The sequence below is a fragment of the Homo sapiens genome, chromosome 10 (assembly GCF_000001405.40).
Source record: "Homo sapiens chromosome 10, GRCh38.p14 Primary Assembly".
Taxonomy (NCBI): Eukaryota; Metazoa; Chordata; class Mammalia; order Primates; family Hominidae; genus Homo; species Homo sapiens.
In genome coordinates, this window is record NC_000010.11 from 37155283 (window position 1) to 37177498 (window position 22216).

The 22216-nt window shown below is 35.0% G+C and overlaps 1 protein-coding gene across 7 annotated transcripts in view; it reads left to right on the forward strand.

The window, feature by feature from the left end:
• ANKRD30A (ankyrin repeat domain 30A) overlaps nt 1-22216 on the forward strand; it is a 140297-nt gene that overhangs the window by 29685 nt on the left and 88396 nt on the right. For 5 of the 7 annotated variants that reach the window (XR_007062015.1, XR_930524.4, XM_011519757.4 and 2 more), the window contains exons 14-25: nt 3110-3138; nt 3232-3304; nt 7367-7395; nt 7494-7566; nt 9812-9873; nt 11323-11413; nt 13683-13724; nt 14248-14276; nt 14370-14442; nt 18430-18458; nt 18557-18629; nt 20875-20936. Coding sequence is in view for 5 of the 7 variants with exons in the window: in XM_011519757.4 (XP_011518059.1) it covers nt 3110-3138; nt 3232-3304; nt 7367-7395; nt 7494-7566; nt 9812-9873; nt 11323-11413; nt 13683-13724; nt 14248-14276; nt 14370-14442; nt 18430-18458; nt 18557-18629; nt 20875-20936 (665 nt within the window). In the remaining 2 variants the exon portion in view is untranslated. The remainder of the gene's footprint in view (nt 1-3109; nt 3139-3231; nt 3305-7366; nt 7396-7493; nt 7567-9811; nt 9874-11322; nt 11414-13682; nt 13725-14247; nt 14277-14369; nt 14443-18429; nt 18459-18556; nt 18630-20874; nt 20937-22216) is intronic. The other 2 variants (NM_052997.3, XM_047425992.1) reach the window with 2 other exon arrangements.

The following is a 22216-nucleotide window of genomic DNA, read 5'->3' on the forward strand; positions in this document are numbered from 1 at the left end:
TGGATCAAGAAATATTGAGATGGCTAAGCTGGAAATTACAAAAATGTTGGCATACTATTATAGCATATGGTTATAAAAATCAATGAATATTTATATTTAGTATTATGCTTTAAGTATATATCCAAGCTGATCAATTAATTACACTTTCACTGATGAGATGTCAATTCTACATTTAGCTGAACTCTCATCTGAACTGTGTGGCTTCTCAATGACAGGACATATTAAAGAACATGATGAATGTTTGTAATGTAATGATATAAATTATTATAATGTGTTGCATTAAAGACACATGGTGTAGCATTCTACGTTCAGCTTTTGCATTTATTTTCTCAGTGTCATGATTTGCTCCTGTGATTCCAGATCAGTTTTCTCCTTATCAGTCAGCATATACATATTGGTATTAACACTTTTTGCAAAAATCATATATAAATGGTTGTAGAATGTTGTTGTCATTCTACAGCAACTGTTTAGTTTTTGTTCAGCGATTAGCTTGTTTTTCATTTATTTTAAGATTTCAGGCCAGTCGTGGTGGCTCACGCCTGTAATTCCAGCACTTTGGGAGGGCGACGCGGGCGGATCACAAGGTTAGGAGATCCAGACCATCCTGGCCAATACGGTGAAACCCCATCTCTACTAAAAATACAAAAAATTAGCCGGGCGTGGTGGTGGGTGCCTGTAGTCCCAGCTACTCTGGAGGCTGAGGCAGGAAAATGGCGTGAACTTGGGAGGCGGAGCTTGTAGCGAGCCAAGATCTCGCCAGTGCACTCCAGTCTGGGCAACAGAGTGATACGCTATCAAAAAAAAAAAAAAATCATAGTGTGCATTTTTACTTTACACCACCTTTAATTAGACGCTATTCATGGTGACTAAAGAGCAACATAAATATAATTACGGATGTCAACAAGCCTTTGTTTAAGTGTATGTCCTACTTCATGCTATACTAGAAATTAAAAGTGAAGTACTGAAAATCCAAGTACGTACAGCCATACATTTCAATAGCCATTACAAATGCGGCTCATGAATCTTTCGAGCTATGCCATGTGACCTGTCCTGATTCTAAACAACTCCAGTGTACCCCTTTATAAAAATAAAAGTAATAAAAAAAAACTAAGGTGGTATTTTCCTACCCGGTTCCTCTGCATGAATTTTGAACTTCAGGGATGATCAGATCACAATTTAGAACCAGAGTTTTCAACCTTACATAGGATTCTTAAGTGCCAAGTGATAAATGGTTCCTTGATGATGAGCTCACCTTTACTGTTTCATCTCTGCGTGTTTTGCTTTTTTATCTTGTCTTAGAAAATTTAATGCCAGTTATTTTCTTTATAAAGGAAAATATTTTGGTTACATATTCATTTCCTGTCTCATGACACTCTGCTTTCTTTGCACTTAGTGAGGATGTGTATTTCTCACAGTTTTACCTAAAACAAGCAGATGAATTCATGGTATCATTTCTTATATATGAATTTTGGAGGTTTCTTCAGTGCTTCAGAAGTAACTTTTAAAGATATTAATGAATAGAGAATGACCTTCTCATTGTAATTAAAGCAGGTTTTTATTTAAAGCGTATTGAATACAAATTTAAGCACTTTTTTTCTAACACACATACATGCAATATGGTCATGCATATTTAGCCTTAAAATGGTTAGACATAAATTTTGTGTGTTTTAGAGAGTTTATGTCCCTGAAGTGTCTTCATTATTGATCAATGATCTCTCAAGGGAAACAACATATATAGTTGATATTTCTAAATATATTAAAGCATGTCATATGGAAATATTTGAGGAGTAGAGAAAAATGAGTGATTAAACATGTTTGATTAATATTATTTGAAGACATGAGATCTATTTCTATCTCAATGAAATGTCTGTGATTTTCTTGAAGCTAAGTTTTTTATAAGAGCTTATTCATAACAATAGTTTAACACCTGGCACGGTGTAACAAATAGAATTAGTTTTAGAAACAAAACTATTGTAGGATTCATTCCTTGAACACTAAAACTGTTATTTTGAATAAGCATTATTGTAACATTGAAATATGCAGGTGAATGATATGTAAAAAGTCTCTAGAAGTTTGCTTCTTGTTTGTAATACATCCATATAAGATGTTTTCTCGCTCTGTCATCCAGGCTGGAGTGCAGTGGCATGATCTTGGCTCATTGCAACATCTGCCTCCTGGGTTCAAGTGATTCTGGTACCTCAGGCACCCAAGTAGCTGGGTTTACAGGCATGTACCACCATACCTGGCTGATTTTTGTAATTTTAGTGGAGACAGTGTTTCCAAAATAGTGATTTTGGCCAGGCTGGTTTGGAACTCCTGGCCTCCAGAGATCCGCCCTCCTCAGCCTTCCAAATTGCTGGAATTACAGGCATGAGCCACTGCACCTGGCCTGTATTGGTTTGTTGATGGGTACGCTTGGACCTTTTTGTATAAGTGGATCAGGAAATTTTAAGAGGACTAAACTAGAGAACCCTATGAATGTGAAAATACTCGTATTTCACAGAGGTACAAAAATGAATATATTTATTAACTTTTATTCTATAAGTAGATATGCTGCTAAATTTAGAACCTTCTCTGCAATGATAAGTACATTGTACCTTTGAACTCTCATCACAACTTTGCAATTCCTAAACTCCAGGACAAATTGAAGAACATAATAGCTACATGTATATATTGACATAAGTGATTCTGACGTGTTTCCTTAACAATATGCCATAGCATTCTCCCATTAGCTTAGTCATTTATTCTGTTTTGGTGGGGTGTGGCATGACTTGGTCATCTTATTAAATACAACTTCTTTCCTTATACGGCCGCTTTCTCTTACTGATAGTAGGATATTTCTGCTTTAGTTATTGTCACCTTAAATATATTTTCAATGTTGAAATCCTCACAGCATGTTTGATGAAATCTAGTTTTCAAATTTTCTTAGGTATATTTCTGTCACGTTGGCATGATAACAAATACAATAACCCAAAAGACCCCAAAACATAGTGTAATCCGTTTTGCAATCCAAGCATGAGGATTCATCTTCATGTTCACACTGTGTGAATGTTCGGTAGGCTTTGTCAGGCTTGCATATAATCAATTATGTATGTCCCTTTTCTTATAGAGTCTCCTAATAAAGATGGTCTTCTGAAGGTAATAACTTTTATATTTTTGTCTTGAGTATCAACTACATATTTTATGAAGTATACATTGTATATTAATTGTTTTGTTTCCAAACCCATTTAGGCTACCTGCGGAATGAAAGTTTCTATTCCAACTAAAGCCTTAGAATTGAAGGACATGCAAACTTTCAAAGCAGGTAAATTTTGTAATTTTAATTTTACTCTGGAAAGGAGAATATTAAAATATTTGAAATGCTGTGAGACTTTTCATTCCCAATGTTGTTTTCTATTCAAAATTTGATGGGATATTTTGATACAATAATGCCAATGTGAGTATTTCTGTTTGAGAAAATGCCATTTACAAGCATAAGATTTAGAGATTTAGAAAAAAAATTCTGCTTTACCTCATGTGGTTCTACTTTAATATCCTGATAGTGTAAAGTTTCCAGTTTGCAATTTCTGTACGTGCTTGGTTTTAAGGCAGGTGAATTTTGAGACTGAAATATTTGCAGTGGTTCAAAGGCTGATTGGAATTCCGATCTTTACTTAGAAGAAAGTTTCACTTGCTGACATGACAGTTGTGAGTGTTGCCACTCAGAGAATATTAAGAAAATCAGCTTTTTTTTTGATTAGCTGACTGTGTGTGTGACTTTTAATTTTAAAAAATCAGTCAAGCAATCATTACTTGATGACTCTTTGCTAGACATAGTGTTTTAGAAGAGTGACTATAAAGCATTTGGCCTTGGTGTCTTTTAATGCTACTGTAATGAATTGCCTAGAGATACAAAACAGCCTGAATTAGTTTTTGCTGTCATTCCCATGCACGTTTAAAACATTTTACAACAGGCTGTGCATGGTGACACGTGCCTGTAATCCTAGCATTTTGGGAGACAAAGGCGGGCAGATAAGTTAAGGTCAGGAGTCCCAGACCAGCCTGGTCAAATTAGTGAAACCCCATCTCTACTAAATATAACAAAAAATAGCCGGTTGTGATGGTGGGTGCCTGTCATCTCAGCTACTCTGGAGGCTGAGGTGGGAGAATCGCTTGAAACTAGGAGGCAAAAGTTGCAGTGAGCCGTCCTTTTGCCACTTTAGCTTGAGTGACAGAGTGAGACTCCATCTGAAAAAGCAAAGAAATAAAAAAACAAAAACTCACAACATGTATGTGGTTATAGACCATGTGTACAATTTGTTTTCATGTCTTATACGCTGTGTGTAGAATTTGTTTTCATGTCTTATAGGCTATATGTAGAATTTGTTTTCATGTCTTAAATTTTCTTCTATTTTTGTTTGTATTTTTTTCTTCAGTTTTTTTGTTTTGTTTTGTTTTTGTTTTTTTGAGATCACCCAGGCTGGAGTGCCATGGCGCGATCTCGGCTCACGCAAGCTCTGCCTCCCGGGTTCACGCCATTCTCCTGCCTCAGCCTCCCGAGTAGCTGGGACTCCAGGCGCCTGCCACCATGCCCGGCTAATGTTTTGTGTTTTTAGTAGAGACAGGGTTTCAGTGTGTTAGCCAGGATGGTCTGATCCGGATCTCCTGACCTTGTGATCCGCCCACCTCGGCCTCCCAAAGTACTGGAATTACAGGCGTGAGGCACCGTGCCCGGCCGATGTCTGAAATTTTCAATAAATGGTTGTACACTGTACATATTGTCCTGGAACTTCCTTGTTTGCTTATCGAATATTTTAGATGGACCCAATACAATTAGCTCTGCTTTGATTTAAGGCCTCATAGTTTGCCATGTTAATTCTAAAACACATTTAATTAGACCGTCTTTTCTAGCCACTAAAAGTCGACATTAAATGGCAGCTGATATCACAGAGCTTTTACTGAAGTGGGGGTATTTACTGCTTCATCCACTGTTAGAAATTAAAATGAAAATATTTAAAATACACGAATTGGAAAAGTCCTACTTTTCAATACGCATTACAACTGTTACTCATTAACCATGAAAATTATGACATTGTGACATGTCATGAGTCTGAAAAATTTTAGTTTACACTTTTTAGAAAATATCAGTAAATAGGAGAAATAGGAAAAACATTATGTGAACTATTAGGCCCCCGGTGTATTTGTTGAACTTCAGAGATGCTCAGATCAGAAGTTAGAACAAAAATTTTCAAAAATGCATAAGGTTCTAAAGTGCCAAATAACAAATGGGCTCTTGTATATGAAATAATGTCTGAAGTTGCACCTCTGAGTCTTTTTTCTCTTTCTCTTTTTTTTAAAAAAATATAAATCAAACAAAATCAAAATTTTGTTTATAATGAAAAGAATTGGTTACAGATTCATTCTGTGTCTCATGGCACTGTGCTCTCTTTTTCCCTAGAGAGGATCTAGACTTTTCATCTGTTTACATGGGAAGAAGTAGTTCAGTTTATGGTCTCATTTCTCATATAAATTGTGAAAATTCTCCACGGCTTCACATGCTAGTTCAGAAGATATTGATGCCTTGAGAATAAAGCATCTGGTTGTAACTCCAGCAGTTTTATATTTAAAGTATACCTAATATAATTGTCAACCACATTACTTTAGAAAACATAAACAAAAGATAGTTACACATATTTATTTTAAAAATGGTGACTGGGTGCGGTGGCTCACGCCTGTAATCCCAGCACGTTGGGAGGCCGTGACTGGCAGATCACGAGGTTAGGAGATCGAGACCATCCTGACTAACAAGGCGAAACCCTGTCTCTACTAAAAATACAAAAAAATTAGTCGGACGTGGTGGCACGCATTTCTAATAAGTTCTCAGGTGATGCTGATGCTGGTGGTCCTTGGAGCTTGCTCTGAGTAGCAAAAGGAGAGGCCTTTCATGGGAAAATAGTGGAAGAAGAGCAGTTGGATAGAAGGTCAAGACATAACATGGTCAGGAGAATGCATTATATTGCTTTTATTTCTGGGTATGCTTTTAGCCAGAGAAGAAGAAGAAAAAGATAAACAGAAATTATAGATTTAAGATACTATCACTAAACAAAGAGAAAGGAAGTGTTGAACAAATAAATTTGAAACAGTGTTGTATGGGAAGAATTCTACAGAGTTAGAGGTTTTTTTTTATTTTCTGTTTTTATTTTTTATTTATTTATTTTTTTAGTTGAAGCATTCTAGGCAGGTGACAGGGGACAAACAAGAAAGAATGTAGGCAGGTAATTCTGGAGACTCTGAGAAGAACAGTTGAGTGAACTCACTTCAGTTGCATTTAGATTATTTGTACTCCAGAATGTAGACTGTGGGCACTCCAGAGACTACCGGAAGCAGGAGTCCTACTAGAATTGGGGGAACCACAGTGACTCATTAGGTTTCTCTGTTACAATCAGGGAAGACAAATATATATTTTGTTGCTGTTCGCTATACAAATGACACATATTGAAAACTAAGAACATTGGCTTTATGTTTAAGGAAGTGTGTTGTTTTGGTAAAATTGCCATTCCACAAAAAATTTATTATAGACTAATGATACACCGAACCAGACGAATTGTAGGAACTGAGAAAATACTGAATTTATACTTGAATAATAAGATTGCTTTTTAAGATAAATATTGTGGTGACTTAACAATATAAAAAAGTTATTTATGTTTAATTCATCTATTGCAATAAATTTTTATATAAATATGTCAATATTGAAAGCTTATTATAGATTATTTCCATGATGAGTTTTACACATCTTCTTGCATGAGTGGATCCAGAAGCATTCAGACAGCTAAAGTAGAGGATACAGAAATATAGGCATATGATTACACCATATGGTTATGGAAAAAAACAAATATTCATATTTAGTGTTATGACCTAAGTGTATATCCAAGCTGAACAATTCATAACATTTCAGAGACAAGATGTCAGTTCTACATTCAGCTGAACTTTCATCATAACTATGTACCTTTCCGAAGATAGGCTATATTAAAGAACAGGATGAATGGAATAATATAAGTGATTCTAATGTGTTTCATTAAGTACGTGGCGTAGCATTCCATGTTCAGCTTTGACATTTATTTTCTCATATCAACCCTTTATACACATGAAACACAATCTCGCTTTTGAAGTCTTAACTGCATGATCTGAGAAACCTGTATTTATATTTTCTTCAGTGTATTCTTGTCGTGTGTGTGTCCTAAACAAACCAAAAGAAAACTTTCCAAATCTAAAGTATTCATTCTCCAATTGGAGCAAGAGGAGTCAGTTAAATACTATCACGGCATTCATTTGTGGTTGGCTTGTCATATTTACATATGATTGATGATAAATCTCTTTTGCTTTTTAGAGCCTCCGGGGAAGCCATCTGCCTTCGAGGTATTTAGTTTTATGATTTCATTTTGAATGACTTATTATCTATGTATTTTGTGAAGTATACATTCTTTATTAATCATTTTGCTTCCAACCCCATTTAGCCTGCCACTGAAATGCAAAAGTCTGTCCCAAATAAAGCCTTGGAATTGAAAAATGAACAAACATTGAGAGCAGGTAAATTTTTCAATGTAACTATGGAAAGACCAATATTTCAATATTGGACATTTTGATGGTCTTTCTGTACCCAATGGTTTATTTTTTTCAACTTTGATGAAAAGATTTGATCTAGATAATGCCAATACTGGTATTGATGTTTGAAAAGCTGGTATTACAAGCACAGTAATTTTCAATATATTTTTTAAAAAAATGTAGCCTTAATCTCAGATGTTTCTACTTTTGTATCCTGAAACTGTAATGTTTTCTATTTTGAACTTCTGTATTTCTTAAGGATTCAAGAAGGTGAATGTTGAAACTCCAATTTCTTTTTTTAGCTCTTCGAAGCTTGATTCAAATTCCACGGTTTACTTCGGGGATCCCATCTCTTACTGATATAACCCTTGTGTTTTAACATGAATTACCTTGTTTCCGGTGTTGTCACTTTGAGAATCCTAAGAAAATCAGTAACTCGGACTAGTGAACTCTGTGTGTTTATGTGTGTGTGTGTCTGCGTGTGTGCCTGCGTGTGCCTGTGTGTGTGTGGTACCTTTACCTTGTAAAGATGAGGAAAGGAATTATTCATTTCTTTGTGAATATTTGATAAACACACTTTTTCATGAAACTGTGATTCTGAAGCATTTGGCTTTAGAGTCCTTTTACGCTAGTACCATTTATTGCCTGGAAGTAACCAATATTCTAAACTGTTTTTAGAAACTCTTCTTATGCATGTTTAAACATTTTACAACATGTGTGCGTGGTCATATTTAATATGTACGATTTTTTTCAACTTCTAATGTGTACATGGTTGTAGAGTGTAGTGTTCGGCAACATTCTTTTTTGATCAGCATTATAATTTTTAGAGACATCCGTAAAGGACACAATTAATTGTGTTTTTAAATATTAGGTTATTTATAAAATTCCATTGTATGACAGTACCATAGTTAATTGCACAATTTTTATGCCGAGAAGTAATAAATAAAACTGAAAACATGCAAATTTGGGAGTCTTTAAAAAGTTAGTTTTATCTGCTGATTTCTTAGTCATTAGAAATTAAAAGTAACATATTTAAAGTATTTCCTTGTGCAATCATAGACTCCACTAAGAATTTGAACTGTGCCCCACAGCTTCTTAGAGCTATGGTGTGGCAACACGTTAGATCTCTGAAACGATCCAGGGTACGCTTCTAAAAATGAGTGAACATGGTGACTTACCAAAGTGTGATTTGAGTTTCCTGGACCCTCTGCATGAATTGTGAACATGAGCTATGCTGAGATCACAAGTTAAATTTACTTTTGAAACCAGGTATACAGTTGATGGATGTCAAATGATAAACGTATGCATAGTGATGAAACGGTCTTTTAAGTTTTAGGTGTGCATGTTTGCTTTTTTCCTGAACCTGATTCAAATAGTTGTAATTTGTACTTTGTGCTGATAAAGAAAACTGGACGTTATTTTTGGTATAAATTCTTTTTCTGTCTTATGCCCCTGAGAACTCGTCAAGTCTTGAGTGGGCCTTGATTTTATCCTATTACACGTGGGAACATTAGATTACTTAAGGCAATTATATTTTCCTATACATTTCTGATGTTTCTCCAAGGTGTCACAAGCTGACTCTGAAGATATTGTTGCATTAGGGAAGAAGTGTGTCATTGTAAATGAAGCAGTTCTTAATTTATATGCAATAAAATTTTTAAAGCTTATCTTCCTAAAGCATATACACACGCAAAACACACCCAATACACTGTCATAGCATACGGAAATGTAAAAGGGTTGGAAATATAGTTGACTGACATCAAAAAGTTAATATTCCTAAAACATCTTATTCATTGATAAATCATCTTTTTTGAAGAACTGTGTAAGAGAGATTGCTGAGTCAATCAACGTAAGTAATACTACCAAGTAAAAAGTAACAAAGAAATGAGAGATGATAGGTAATTACAGTTTTCTGAATGAACAGGAAACCTAGGGCATACTGTGTTTCACAGGAGAATAGGATATGACTGCTTTGTGAAGAAATAATTCATACAAGTTAGTCAAATTTCTATTTTTCTGCATTCTAATGACATAATGTTAATTGTCAGAGTTTTTAGATTTCAATTCTTTTGGAATGACTATAGAAGTAGTCATTGTAATCAACAAAAAGAACATATGGGCCACAGAGGAAAATCCACAGATTCGTGAATGAAAGTAGATTTGTATATGTTTTTAAAATTTTTAGTAGAGAACTGTGCTCATGAATGTATCTGTGATTAACCTTTTATAGATGAGATACTCCCATCAGAATCCAAACAAAAGGACTATGAAGAAAATTCTTGGGATACTGAGGTACTGTGTGTTGTTGATTTTTTTAAATATTAGTATTGCATGATATGAAAACATAAAATCAGATGCTTAGTCTTTATTTTCTCACCTCTGCATGTGTCACCCTCAAATTATTTTTGATGTTTTTCAGTATATGCTTAATGGAGAATCTATGTGCTAAGTAGATTCCTGCTTCACAGTGAAATTCTGGGAATTTGTACGATTAATTTAAGAAGCCAAAGTGGTATAGTGTAAAAACTAAGGCTTAGAATTCACTAGAAATTCACATGGGATCTGGAGTACGTTTGTCTAAAAGCAAAAGAATTACACTGAGTCGAGCTATGGGCAAATATATGATTCTGTCTTATATCTAGAGGTAGAAAAGTTCTAATTGTATTCATAGAGAGACACTTTAAACTGCAATATTGTAAAAGTTGGGACCTGAAAATTTAATGCCTGGGACTTGAACATATTGACATATCTTTATTGTTCAGTATAGATCTGAAGGAACATTTCAGCAGAAAGAAAAGCATGAGGAATAGGAAACCTTGTGGGAGTATAATAACAAGAGTATTGGTTGAGTAGTCTTTTGAAAAATATAAATTATATTTTCACAAATAGAACTCCTTGAGTCCCCTTATGGCAGTCAAGCTACAGCAGCATGAGCGTCAAATCATAGTGATGTATTTTAAGGTCACAACGGCGGAAAGACATAGAAAGTATCTGACCTCTTAGAAACAAGCAGCTGCTGCCTGATGGTAACAGCAAAGGGTGGAAGTCAATAGGTAGATTTTATCTGATATTTTATTAGACAAAAAGACGTTAATACTTGTTTTCTTTCATTTAGATGTGACATAACTTTTTTCTTACTGCATTTACATTCTATTCAAGCACTTTTTCTCTCACCAAAAATTTTGTCAGAAACATGTTGCTTATTTTAAGCCCCTGTTTACCGAAAGAAAGCAGCTTTTTCAAATTCTGTACATACATTCTATGACAGACTCTAAAAGTTCTCATCATGACATGCATGATTTTTAACACTAAACAGTTCTATGATCGTGAATATTTTAAATGTTTACTGCTGTATGTGTCCAGGCAAGTAGCAAATGCGTTGTATTTTGTTTGAAATGTCTTATTTATTTTTGATGAGGACTAGAACATAAGTTAGATATTTTTAAGAGAGTTACTTTTTGAAATATGCACGAGTGAATTTTTTTGTGAAGGTGATTTGTTTTTCCTGCTCAGTCACCGAGTTAATGGCCACGTGAACGTAAAGATGAGCTTGATGTAGAGAGGGTTATGTGAGGTTTTCTATCAAAATGTGTTTGTTTTCTACATGTATCTGCTCTTAAGTCGAATTGTTTGCAAAGGAGGAAATTGTGTTTTTAAAAAAGAATTTAATTAGGAAATTTTGATACTCTTCATTACTAGGATTTATCCATTGAAATTATTTATTGCTATTACTTTTAACAGAGTCTCTGTGAGACTGTTTCACAGAAGGATGTGTGTTTACCCAAGGCTGCGCATCAAAAAGAAATAGATAAAATAAATGGAAAATTAGAAGGTAAGAACCGTTTTTTATTTAAAAATCATTTGACCAAATATTTCTCTAAACTGATGAGGAAGGATATCCTCTAGTAGCTGAAGAAAATTACCTCCTAAATGCAAACCATGGAAAAAAAGAGAAGTGCAATGGTCATAAGTTATGTGTCTCATCAGGTGATGGCAACAGACTATATTGTGAGTGCTGAAGCGGAGCTGAATTACTAGTTTGAATTCAAGATATTCCAAGACGTGAGGAAAATGAGAAAATAAGAAAGAAGAAAGTAGTAATAGAGTAAATGAAGACTGAGAAAGACAGAGCATACAGAGAGTACATGAAGGAACAAGAAGCAGGTTTATGTAATGGAGGATGATAAAATGAAATGATTGTTTAGGAAAGATCGGATGCAGGGGACAAGAGAGAAGCCAGCTAGATGATTTTGGATTTTCTATGAAGGAAAATGGAGTGAGCTCACTTCGGAAGCATTTAGAAAAGTTTTACTGCAGAATGTTAGAGTGTGGGTGCTCTGGAGACTACTGGAATCATGAGGATTACTAGAATTGGACTAAACCTCAGTGACTCATTAATTTTCTTTATTACTATGAGGCGTCAAATATATATATATATAGATGTGTGCATGTATGTATGTTTTTGATGTTCACAATTTGAATAAGATATACTTGAATGTAAGAACCTTGGCTTTATTTTTAAGGAAGCAAATTGTGTTGGTAAAATTGCCATTTTATAAAACCTCATTAGCAAATAACATGATACACGAAACCAGACTAATTTTGAAAACCATAAAACTCTGAATTTATGACTTGAATACCTAAATTGTTGTTATTCGTAGGTATTTTACTGATTTTAACATAGAAAATGTTATTAATATTTAAAAATCTGATGCAACTAAATTTAAATGAAATACATCAATATTGAAAGCTTATTAAATTTGCCATTCCTGATGAGATTTGTACATCTTCCTGCATGAGTGGATTAAGAGATATTGAGATGACTAAGCTAGAAATTACAAAAATGTTGGCATACTATTCCAGTATATGGGTATGAAAATCAAGGAATATTTATATTTAATATTATGCTCTAAGTATATATCCAAGCTGATCAATTCATAACACTTTTTCTGATGAGATGTCAATTCTACATTCAGCTGAACTCTTATCCGAACTGTGTGGCTTCTCAATGACAGGACATATTAAAGAACATGATGAATGTTTGTAATGCAATGATATAAATTATTATAATGTGTTGCCTTAAAGACACATGGTGTAGCATTCTACGTTCAGCTTTTGCATTTATTTTCTCAGTGTCATGATTTGCTCCTGTGATTCCAGATCAGTTGTCTCCTTATCAGTCAGCATATACTTATTGGTATTAACACTTTTTGCAAAAATCATATATAAATGGTTGTACAATGTTGTTGTCATTCTACAGCAACTTTTTAATTTTTGTTCAGCGATTAGCTTGTTTTTCATTTATTTTAAGATTTCAGGCCAGGTGTGGTGGCTCACGCCTGTAATCCCAGCACTTTGGTAGGCCAAGGTGGGTGGATCACGAGGTCAGGAGATCCAGACCATCCTGGCTAACATGGTGAAACCTCACCTCTACTAGAAATACAAAAAATCAGCCGGGCGTGGTGGTGGGTGCCTGTAGTCCCAGCTACTCCGGAGGCTGAGGCAAGAGAATGGCGTGAACCCGCGAGGCGGAGCTTGTGGTGAGCCGATATTACATTATTGTAACATTGAAATATGCAGGTGAATGATATATAAAAAGCCTCTGGAAGTTTACTTCTAGTTTTTGATACTTTCACGTTACGTGTTTTTTCTTTTTTAGAGACAGAGTCTCGCTCTGTCATCCAGGCTGGAGTGCAATGGCATGATCTTGGCTCACTGCCACCTCCAGCTCCTGGGTTCAAGTGATTCTGGTACCTCAGTCACCCAAGTAGCTGAGATTACAGGCATGTGCCACCATACCTGGCTGATTTTTGTAATTTTAGTGGGGACAGTGTTTCTAAAATAGTGATTTTGGCCAGGCTGGTTTGGAACTCCTGGCCTCCAGAGATCCGCCCTCCTCAGCCTTCCAAAGTGCTGGAATTACAGGCATGAGCCACTGCACCTGGCCTGTATTGGTTTGTTGATGGGTACGCTTGGACCTTTTTGTATAAGTGGATCAGGAAATTTTAAGAGGACTAAACTAGAGAACCCTATGAATGTGAAAATACTCGTATTTCACAGAGGTACAAAAATGAATATATTTATTAACTTTTATTCTATAGGTAGATATGCTGCTGAATTTAGAACATTCTCTGCAATGATAAGTACGTTGTACCTTTGAACTCTCATCACAACTTTGCAATTCCTAAACTCCAGGACAAATTGAAGGACATAATAGCTACATGTATATATTGACATAAGTGATTCTGACGTGTTTCCTTAACAATATGCCATAGCATTCTCCCATTAGCTTAGTCATTTATTCTGTTTTGGTGGGGTGTGGCATGACTTGGTCATCTTATTAAATACAACTTCTTTCCTAATACGGCCGCTTTCTCTTACTGATAGTAGGATATTTCTGCTTTAGTTATTGTCACCTTAAATATATTTTCAATGTTGAAATCCTCACAGCATGTTTGATGAAATCTAGTTTTCAAATTTTCTTAGGTATATTTCTGTCACGTTGGCATGATAACAAATGCAATAACCCAAAAGACCCCAAAAGCTAGTGTAATCCCTTTTGCAATCCAAGCATGAGGATTCATCTTCATGTTGACAGTGCGTGAATGTTCGGTAGGCTTTGTCAAGCTTGCATACAATAAATTATATATGTCCCTTTTCTTTTAGGGTCTCCTGTTAAAGATGGTCTTCTGAAGGTAATAACTTTTATATTTTTATCTTGAGTATTAACTACATATTTTATGAAGTATACATTGTATATTAATTGTTTTCTTTCCAAACCCATTTAGGCTAACTGCGGAATGAAAGTTTCTATTCCAACTAAAGCCTTAGAATTGATGGACATGCAAACTTTCAAAGCAGGTAAATTTTGTAATTTTAATTTTACTCTGGAAAGAAGAATATTAAAATATTTGAAATGCTGTGAGACTTTTCATTCCCAATGTTGTTTTCTATTCATAATTTGATGGGAAATTTCGATACAAATAATGCCAATGTGAGTATTTCTGTTTGAGAAAATGCCATTTACAAGCATAAGATTTAGAGATTTAGAAAAAAAATTCTGCTTTACCTCATGTGGTTCTACTTTAATGTCCTGATCGGATAAAGTTTCCAATTTGCAATTTCTGTACGCGCTTGGTTTTAAGGTAGGTGAATTTTGAGACTGTGAAATATTTGCAGTGGTTCGAAGGCTGATTGGAATTCTGATGTTTACTCAGAAGAAAGTTTCACTTGCTGACATGACAGTTGTGAGTGTTACCACTCTGAGAATCTTAAGAAAATCAGTTTTTTTTTTAATAGATGACTGTGTGTGTGTGTGACTTATAATTTTAAAAAATCAGTCAAGCAATCATTACTTGATGACTCTTTGCTAGGCACCGCATTTTAGAAGAGTGACCCCAAAGCATTTGGCCTTGGTGTGTTTTAATGCTACTGTAATGAATTGCCTAGAGATACAAAAGAGCCTGAAGTAGTTTTTGTCATTCCCGTGAACGTTTACAACATTTTACAACAGGCCTTGCACGGTGGCACATGCCTGGAATCCTAGCAGTTTGGGAGACAAAGGCGGGCAGATAAGTTAAGGTCAGGAGTCCCAGACCAGCCTGGTCAAACTAGTGAAACCCCATCTCTACTAAACATAACAAAAAATAGCCGGTTGTGGTGGTGGGTGCCTGTCATCTCAGCTACTCTGGAGGCTGAGGCAGGAGAATGGCTTGAACCTAGGACGCAGAAGTTGCATGAGCCGAGCTTGTGCCACTTTAGCCTGAGTGACAGAGTGAGACTCCATCTGAAAAGGTAAAGAAATAAAAACACAAAACTCACAACATATGTGTGGTTATAGACTATGTGTAGAATTTGTTTTCATGTCTTATAGGCTGTGTGTAGAATTTGTTTTCATGTCTTAAATTTTCTTTTTTTTTGTTTGTATTTTTTTCTTCAGTTTTTTTGTTTGGTTTTGTTTTTGTTTTTTTGAGATCACCCAGGCTGGAGTGCCATGGCGCCATCTCGGCTCACGCAAGCTCTGCCTCCCGGGTTCACGCCATTCTCCTGCCTCAGCCTCCTGAGTAGCTGAGACTCCAGGTGCCTGCCACCACGCCCGGCTAATGTTTTGTATCTTTAGTAGAGACAGGGTTTCAGTGTGTTAGCCAGGATGGTCTGATCCGGATCTCCTGACCTTGTGGTCCGCCCGTCTCGGCCTCCCAAAGTACTGGAATTACAGGCATGAGGCACCGTGCCCGGCCGATGTCTGAAATTTTCAATAAATAGTTGTACGCTGTACATATTGTCCTGGAACTTCCTTGTTTGCTTATCGAATATTTTAGATGGACCCAATACAATTAGCTCTGCTTTGATTTAAGGCCTCATAGTTTGCCATGTTAACTCTAAAACACATTTAATTAGACTGTGTTTCCTAGCCACTAAAAGTCGACATTAAATGGCAGCTGATATCACAGAGCTTTTACTGAAGTGGGAGTATTTACTGCTTCATTCACTGTTAGAAATTAAAATGAAAATATTTAAAATACACGAATTGGAAAAGTCCTACTTTCCAATACGCATTACAACTGTTACTCATTAACCATGAAAATTATGACATTGTGACATGTCATGAGTCTGAAAAATTTTAGTTTACACTTTTTAGAAAATATCAGTAAATAGGAGAAATAGGAAAAACATTATGGCCCCCGGTGTATTTGTTGAACTTCAGAGATGCTCAGATCAGAAGCTAGAACAAGAATTTTCAAAAATGCATAAGGTTTTAAAGTGCCAAATAACAAATGGGCTCTTGTATATGAAATAATGTCTGAAGTTGCACCTCTGAGTCTTTTTTCTCTTTTTCTTTTTTAAAAAGATATAAATCAAACAAAATCAAACTTTTGTTTATAATGAAAAGAGTTGGTTACAGATTCATTCTGTGTCTCATGGCACTGTGCTCTCTTTTTCCCTAGAGAGGATCTAGACTTTTCATCTGTTTACATGGGAAGAAGTAGTTCAGTTTATGGTCTCATTTCTCATATAAACTGTGAAAATTCTCCACGGCTTCACATGCTAGTTCAGAAGATATTGATGCCTTGAGAATAAAGCATCTGGTTGTCACTCCAGCAGTTTTATATTTAAAGTATACCTAATATAGTTGTCAACCACATTACTTTAGAAAACATAAACAAAAGATAGTTACACTTATTTATTTAAAAAATGGTGACCGGGTGCGGTGGCTCACGTCTGTAATGCCAGCACGTTGGGAGGCCGTGACTGGCAGATCACGAGGTGAGGAGAGCGAGACCATCCTGACTAACGCGGTGAAACCCTGTCTCTACTAAAAATACAAAAAATTAGCCGGACGTGGTGGCACGCACTTCTAATAATTTCTCAGGCGATGCTGCTGCTGGTGGTCCTTGGAGCTTGGTCTGAGTAGCAAAAGGAGAGGCCTTTCATGGGAAAATAGTGGAAGAAGAGCAGTTGGATAGAAGGTCAAGACATAACAGGGTCAAGAGAATGCATTATATTGCTTTTATTTCTGGGTATGCTTTTAGCCAGAGAAGAAGAAGAAAAAGATAAACAGAAATTATAGATTTAAGATACTATCACTAAACAAAGAGAAAGGAAATGTTGAACAAATAAATTTGAAACAGTGTTGTATGGGAAGAATTCTACAGAGTTAGAGGTTTTTTTTTAATTTCTTTTTTTTTTTTTTTTTTTTTTTAGTAGAAGCATTCAAGTCAGGTAACGGGACAAACAAGAAAGAATGTAGGCAGGTAATTCTGGAGACTCTGAGAAGAACAGTTGAGTGAACTCACTTCAGATGCATGTAGATTATTTGCACTCCAGAATGTAGACTGTGGGCACTCCAGAGACTACCAGAATTGGGGGAACCACAGTGACTCATTAGGTTTCTCTGTTACAATCAGGCATGAGAAATATATATATTTTGTTGATGTTAGCTATTGAAATGAGATATATTGGAAACTGAGAACATTGGCTTTATGTTTAAGGAAGTGTGTTGTTTTGGTAAAATTGCCATTCCACAAAAATTTATTATAGACTAATGATACACCAAACCAGGCGAATTGTAGGATCTGAAAAAATACTGAATTTATACTTGAATAATAAGATTGCTTTTTAAGATAAATATTGTGGTGACTTAACAATATAAAAAAAGTTACTTATGTTTATTTAATCTATTGCAATAAATTTTTATATAAATATGTCAATATTGAAAGCTTAGTATAGATTATTTCCATGATGAGTTTTACACATCTTGCATGAGTGGATCGAGAAGCATTCAGATGGATAAAGTAGAGGATACAGAATCATAGGCATATGATTACACCCTATGGTTATGGAAAAAAACGAATATTCATATTTAGTATTATGACCTAAGTGTATATCCAAGCTGATCAATTCATAACACTTCAGTGATGAGATGTCAGTTGTACATTCGGCTGAACTCTCATCATAACTATGTACCTTTCCAAAGATAGGCTATATTAAAGAACAGGATGAATGGAATAATATAAGTGATTCTAATGTGTTTCATTAAGTACGTGGCGTAGCATTCCATGTTCAGCTTTGACATTTATTTTCTCATATCAACCCTTTTTACACGTGAAACACAATCTCGCTCTTGAAGTCTTAACTGCATGATCTGTGAAACCTGTATTTATATTTTCTTCAGTGTATTCTTGTCGTGTGTGTGTCCTAAACAAACCAAAAGAAAACTTTCCAAATCTAAAGTATTCATTCTCCAATTGGAGCAAGAGGAGTCAGTTAGATACTATCACGGCATTCATTTGTGGCTGGCTTGTCATATTTACTTATGATTGATAATAAATCTATTTTGCTTTTTAGAGCCTCCCGAGAAGCCATCTGCCTTCGAGGTATTTAGTTTCATGATTTCATTTTGAATGACTTATTAACTATGTATTTTGTGAAGTATACATTCTTTATTAATCATTTTGCTTCCAACCCCATTTAGCCTGCCATTGAAATGCAAAAGTCTGTTCCAAATAAAGCCTTGGAATTGAAGAATGAACAAACATTGAGAGCAGGTAAATTTTTTAATGGAACTATGCAAAGACCAATATTTCAATATTGGACATTTTGATGGTCCTTCTATCCCCAATGCTTTATTTTTTTCAACTTTGATGAAAAGATTTGATCTAGGTAATGCCAATACTGGTATTGATGTTTGAAAAGCTGGTATTACAAGCACAGTAATTTTCAATATCTTTTTTTAAAAATGTAGGCTTAATCTCAGATGTTTCTACTTTTGTATCCTGAAACTGTAATGTTTTCTATTTTGAACTTCTGTATTTCTTAAGGATTCAAGAAGGTGAATGTTGAAACTCCAATTTCTTTTTTTAGCTCTTCGAAGCTTGATTCAAATTCCACGGTTTACTTCGGGGATCCCATCTCTTACTGATATAACCCTTGTGTTTTAACATGAATTACCTTGTTTCCGGTGTTGTCACTTTGAGAATCCTAAGAAAATCAGTAACTCGGACTAGTGAACTCTGTGTGTTTATGTGTGTGTGTGTCTGCGTGTGTGCCTGCGTGTGCCTGTGTGTGTGTGGTACCTTTACCTTGTAAAGATGAGGAAAGGAATTATTCATTTCTTTGTGAATATTTGATAAACACACTTTTTCATGAAACTGTGATTCTGAAGCATTTGGCTTTAGAGTCCTTTTACGCTAGTACCATTTATTGCCTGGAAGTAACCAATATTCTAAACTGTTTTTAGAAACTCTTCTTATGCATGTTTAAACATTTTACAACATGTGTGCGTGGTCATATTTAATATGTACGATTTTTTTCAACTTCTAATGTGTACATGGTTGTAGAGTGTAGTGTTCGGCAACATTCTTTTTTGATCAGCATTATAATTTTTAGAGACATCCGTAAAGGACACAATTAATTGTGTTTTTAAATATTAGGTTATTTATAAAATTCCATTGTATGACAGTACCATAGTTAATTGCACAATTTTTATGCCGAGAAGTAATAAATAAAACTGAAAACATGCAAATTTGGGAGTCTTTAAAAAGTTAGTTTTATCTGCTGATTTCTTAGTCATTAGAAATTAAAAGTAACATATTTAAAGTATTTCCTTGTGCAATCATACACTCCACTAAGAATTTGAACTGTGCCCCACAGCTTCTTAGAGCTATGGTGTGGCAACACGTTAGATCTCTGAAACGATCCAGGGTACGCTTCTAAAAATGAGTGAACATGGTGACTTACCAAAGTGTGATTTGAGTTTCCTGGACCCTCTGCATGAAATGTGAACATGAGCTATGCTGAGATCACAAGTTAAATTTACTTTTGAAACCAGGTATACAGTTGATGGATGTCAAATGATAAACGTATGCATAGTGATGAAACGGTCTTTTAAGTTTTAGGTGTGCATGTTTGCTTTTTTCCTGAACCTGATTCAAATAGTTGTAATTTGTACTTTGTGCTGATAAAGAAAACTGGACGTTATTTTTGGTATAAATTCTTTTTCTGTCTTATGTCCCTGAGAACTCGTCAAGTCTTGAGTGGGCCTTGATTTTATCCTATTACACGTGGGAACATTAGATTACTTAAGGCAATTATATTTTCCTATACATTTCTGATGTTTCTCCAAGGTGTCACAAGCTGACTCTGAAGATATTGTTGCATTAGGGAAGAAGTGTGTCATTGTAAATGAAGCAGTTCTTAATTTATACGCAATAAAAGTTTTTTAAGCTTATCTTCCTAAAGCTTATACACACGCAAAACACACCCAATACACTGTCATAGCATACTGAAATGTAAAAGGGTTGGACATATAGTTGACTGACATCAAAAAGTTAATATTTCTAAAACATCTTATTCATTGATAAATCATCTTTTTTGAAGAACTGTGTAAGAGAGATTGCTGAGTCAATCAATGTAAGTAATACTACCAAATAAAAAGTAACAAAGAAATGAGAGATGATAGGTAATTCCAGTTTTCTGAATGAACAGGAAACCTAGGGCATACTGCGCTTCACAGGAGAATAGGATATGACTGCTTTGTGAAGAGATAATTCATACAAGTTAGTTAAATTTCTATTTTTCTGCATTCTAATGAAATAATGTTAATTTTCAGACTTTTTAGATTTCAGTTCTATTGGAATGACTATAGAAGTAGTCATTGCAATCAACAAAAAGAATATACGGGCTACAGAGGAAAAACCTCAGATTCGTGAATGAAAGTAGATTTGTATATGTTTTTAAAATTTTTAGTAGAGAACTGTGCTCATGAATGTATCTGTGATTAACCTTTTATAGATGAGATACTCCCATCAGAATCCAAACAAAAGGACTATGAAGAAAGTTCTTGGGATTCTGAGGTACTATGTGTTATTGATTTTTTAAATATTAGTATTGCATGATATGAAAACATAAAATCAGATGCTTAGACTTTATGTTCTCACCTCTGCATGTGTCACCCCCAAATTATTTTTGATATTTTTCAGTATATGCTTAACGGAGAATCTGTGTGCTAAGTAGATTCCTGCTTCACAGTGAAATTCTGGGAATTTGTACGATTAATTTAAGAAGCCAAAGTGGTATAGTGTAAAAACTAAGGCTTAGAATTCACTAGAAATTCACATGGGATCTGGAGTACTTTTGTCTAAAAGGAAAAGAATTACACTGAGTCCAGCTATGGGCAAATATATGATTCTGTCTTATATCTAGAGGTAGAAAAGTTCTAATTGTATTCATAGAGAGACACTTTAAACTGCAATATTGTAAAAGTTGGGACCTGAAAATTTAATGCCTGGGACTTGAACGTATTGACATATCTTTATTGTTCAGTATAGATCTGAAGGAACATTTCAGCAGAAAGGAAAGCATGAGGAATAGGAAACCTTGTGGGAGTATAATAACAAGAGTATTGGTTGAGTAGTCTTTTGAAAAATATAAATTATATTTTCGCAAATAGAACTCCTTGAGTCCCCTTATGGCAGTCAAGCTGAAGCAGCATGAGCGTCATATCATAGTGATGTATTTTAAGGTCACAACGGCGGAAAGACATAGAAAGTATCTGACCTCTTAGAAACAAGCAGCTGCTGCCTGGTGGTAACAGCAAAGGGTGGAAGTCAATAGGTAGATTTTATCTGATATTTTATTAGACAGAAAGACTTTAACACTTGTTTGCTTTCATTTAGATGTGACATAATTTTTTTCTTACTGCATTTACATTCTATTCAAACACTTTTTCTATCACCAAAAATTTTGTCAAAAACATGTTGCTTATTTTAAGCCCCTGTTTACCGAAAGAAAGCAGCTTTTTCAAATTCTGTACATACATTCTATGACAGACTCTAAAAGTTCTCTTCGTGACATGCATGATTTTTAACAGTAAACAGTTCTATGATCGTGAATATTTTAAATGTTTACTGCTGTATGTGTCCCGGCAAGTAGCAAATGTGTTGTATTTTGTTTGAAATGTCTTATTTATTTTTGATGAGGACTAGAACGTAAGTTAGATATTTTTAAGAGAGATACTTTTTGAAATATGCACGAGTGAATTTTTTGTGAAGGTGATTTGTTTTTCCTGCTCAGTCACCGAGTTAATGGCCACGTGAACGTAAAGATGAGCTTGATGTAGAGAGGGTTATGTGAG